This window comes from Homo sapiens, chromosome 1, assembly GCF_000001405.40.
Source record: "Homo sapiens chromosome 1, GRCh38.p14 Primary Assembly".
Taxonomy (NCBI): domain Eukaryota; kingdom Metazoa; phylum Chordata; class Mammalia; order Primates; family Hominidae; genus Homo; species Homo sapiens.
In genome coordinates, this window is record NC_000001.11 from 143,448,414 (window position 1) to 143,452,005 (window position 3,592).

General features: G+C 56.5%; 1 pseudogene; it reads right to left on the bottom strand.

Annotated features, from left to right (window-relative positions):
• LOC101929815 (dopamine receptor D5 pseudogene) lies at positions 234-2,632 on the bottom strand (annotated as a pseudogene).

Here is a 3,592-nt window from a genome sequence, read left to right on the forward strand (position 1 = left end):
CAGGTTTCAGCACAGACCCAACATGTGTATAAGTAATAAAAAGAAACCTGAGAAAACAGAAGCTCCTCAAGGTCCTTTGCCCTGGTGTATCTTTAAGGCCAAACTGTAAAGAGAATAAGCATGTACTTCCAGACCCAGCAAATGTCTTCTTTGCATTTTAAGGATGCACTCATCGTTTCTTCAGAAGCAATCCTGAAACCCAGTGTAGCAAAGCAAAGATAGTCACCACATAATACAAATAATCTGTGTTTATTAGATACCAGAATAAATCAGGGAGACTTCTTAAGCTATGGTAAAGAGACCCCCACCAGCACAGAGAGAAGAAATGACACAAGCACAAAGCCACGGGAATCCAGACCCAGGAAAGCTGTGCTCCCACCACATCACTGCACACACACAAAACCTGCTGTTTAAAAATCAATTCAAACACAAACAAGTGACTGAAAAAGCCATTTGTTTAAAAAGGGAGGGGAGAGCATATTTTTTAAGGACCAAGTATCTTTTTTTTTTTTTTTTTTTTTTTTTAAGGAGCCAGCACCATACTCTCTTCTCTCACAGGATCATTGTTCCATCTCTGGTAGGCTGGGTACATTTGACTGAGTTTATTGCAACTGCTTCTGCCAATTCTTTGAACTATCAATCAATGGGGTGAGGTTTCTAAGCACACCAGCTACTACACAGAAACACATGATAAAGGGAGCAGTACTGGAAAGCCATGTATTTGCTTGTGTGTGCATGCTTGTCAATGTCTGTGTGGTTATGCAGATCCATGAGGGGGTTTCTTAATGCAGTTTAATGGAATCCATTTGGGGTGAAAGGTGTTATTTTGTCTAAAGAAATCTCCCCCTCGCAGTCCAGCTCTCAGACAGACTCTGCAACAGGGTCACCATCTGGGGATGTCTGATAGATCTGGGACATGCGATCGAAAGGACTCTCCTCCTCCTCATCGTTGTCCACCTCCCGGTCCCCGGGGGGAACGGCGTTGGGCATCATGTGGATGTAGGCAGCTGCGATTTCCTTGTGGAAGACCGTGTCTTGGCTGTAGGAGATGAGCTCATTGCTGATGTTCACCGTCTCCACCGGCGTGCGGGAGCAGACGTGGCTGCACCCCAGCAGCTGGGCAAACACCTTCCGGAAGTCGGCGTTGAAGGCATAGTGACTGGGTTGAGTGAGGAGTTGGCCCAGCAGAACCAGATGAAGACATCGAATGTGGTCTCACTGACGCAGGGGAAGCCGGCCGGAGGGCCTTTGGGGTGTCCACTGCAGAAAGGGACCATGCAGTTAAGGATGAAGAAGGGCAGCCAGCAACACACGAAGACCCCCATGATCACCGACAGGGTCTTGAGAACCTCGGTCTCCTTCTTGATGGAAAACCGCAGGCTGGTGTCGGGCGCGCAGCCTGCGCTGCTCCGGCAGCTCTGCACGTGCTCTGCGGCCCTCTCCAGGGAGGAAATCCTGCGGATCTGCACCTGGGCGATGCTGTAGATGCGCGTGTAGGTCACGATCATGATGGCCATGGGGATGTAGAAGCTGATGAGCGAGGAAGAGATGGCGTAGGTTCGATTCAGGCTGGAGTCACAGTTCTCTGCCCTCACGTCGGGCTCCCAAACGGCCTCCTCCCAGGGCGTCCAGTTGGCCAGGTTGTTTGGCAGGTCCAGCCCACCTCAAGAGACCGCCTGGTCCCTGTGCCAGTTGAGCTGGACCGGAATGAAGGAGATGAGGCTGGACAAGGTCCAGGCCGGGTGGACCATGACCAAGGCCATGCGCTGGGTCATCTTGCGCTCGTAGCGGAAGGGCCTGGAGATGGCCCAGTAGCGGGCCACGCTGATGACCTGCTGACGCACAGGTTCAGGATGGAGGCGGTGGAGCACATGATGTCGAAGGCCACCCAGACGTCGCAGAACGCTTCAAAGGGCCAGTAACCGGCCACCTCGGCGACTGCCTTCCAGGACATGACCAGCAGCGCCACGAAGAGGTCTGACACAGGTAGAGACACGATGAAGACGTTGGTCATCTTGGCGCGCAGGTGGCGGCTCCGCACGATGGCTGCGGACACCAGCACGTTGCCCAGCAAGGTCCAGATGATGAGTAGGGTCAGCAGGCAGGCGGTGACCACCTGCACGGGCCCCAGTGGCGGTGCCCCCGCCGAGCCCCCCACGGCATTCCCCTGCACCAGCTGCTGGTATAGCGCTAACTGCCCCGGGTACGCGGTGCCGTTGCTCCTTGGCGGCAGCATTTCGGGCTGGGCCGCAGAGTCGGTTTGTGTGCGATCCCAACTACAGCCCTGCGACCCCCAGGCAGCCCCATCGGGCACCCCGAGGATGCGCCCCCTCAGCCAAGGGACCCTCGAGCCCCAGAGGGCGCTCACCATGAGCTGCGCCGGGTCCCGGAGCGCGCGGGGACTTCTCTTGCTTCCTGAAGCGCCTCTGGCTCGGTGGCCGTGGTGCGCCCCTCCAGTCTACGCGATGGGCACAGGAAGCGGCTGGTGCCCGCTGACAGCCAGGGCTGTTCTCGGGAGTCTGCGGCGCGCCACATGGCAGCGACAGCGGCTGTGTCTGGTTCGGAGCGAGAGAAGGGAGCAAGCCGCCACTGAGGGGCTGGGGCAGGCAGTCGCCGGCGCCGGGCTGGCACTGCGGCGCTGCCGCGGTCCCTGGCCGCTCCCCGGCCCCGCGTCTCGTCCCCCGCGCCTCCGCGCTGGACTCCAGCCCCACCTGTGCCTTGGCGCCCTAGCTCACCGCGCTCGGCGCGCCAGAGTGTAGTGGTGATCCCGCAGGTCCCAGGAGCGCCCCAGCGCCAGACCCTAGCCCCGGGCCGGGGAAAATTCTTCCCGGGAAGACCGAAGGGTGCTTGGTGTAGCCCTGGAGTCCTAGCCCTAGCCACGCTTGGGGAACAAGAGGTGGGGTAGGGATGAGGACGCGAGGGCTTCCGGAGGGGGAAAGAGCATTTGAAGTGTAAAGGGGACCGCCTTGGATTGCCCACAGACCTGAGTCCCAATCCGGACTTTATTCCTGGCTCTGCAACTTTAAGGGCCCTACATTACTTTACCCGGCCTTGGTTTCCTTCTCCACAACGTGGAATAATGATTCCTCCTCCTAGAACAGTGTCAGAACTCAGGGAAGCCTTCTAGGATGAGGTGTCCAGTAGACAGTGTCTCCTAGGAACAGGCTCCCGCTTCCCCCAGCCCCTCCCTCAACACCATGAGGCTGGGGCTTCACCTGACCTCTTGGGAGACTGTCCTTTTCCCCACCACCGCCCCCAGTCCTTCAGTGATTTTTCCTTTGGGGAATAATTTGGAATGAACCCAGAAGACAAGAGGAGGAAGAGAGCCCCCCACCCCCCCCACCCCCAGAGAGTTGGAAGCCTCTTCTTTGCAGGGCACTTTTACAGTCTTTCTCTTTTTCAACCTTGAGAGGGGTGGATACATAGCTCAGTGTTGAACAGAAAAGGAACTGACGGGGCCCAAAACCCAGACTGAAAAAAAAAAATGATGGAAAACAATAAAGAGGGAAAACAGTGTTCCTGAGCTCTGAGTGCACCTCCCAGCTGACAAGTTGCATTTGTGAAGTGTTTCGGCCTCTGCTGGCGTTAAGCT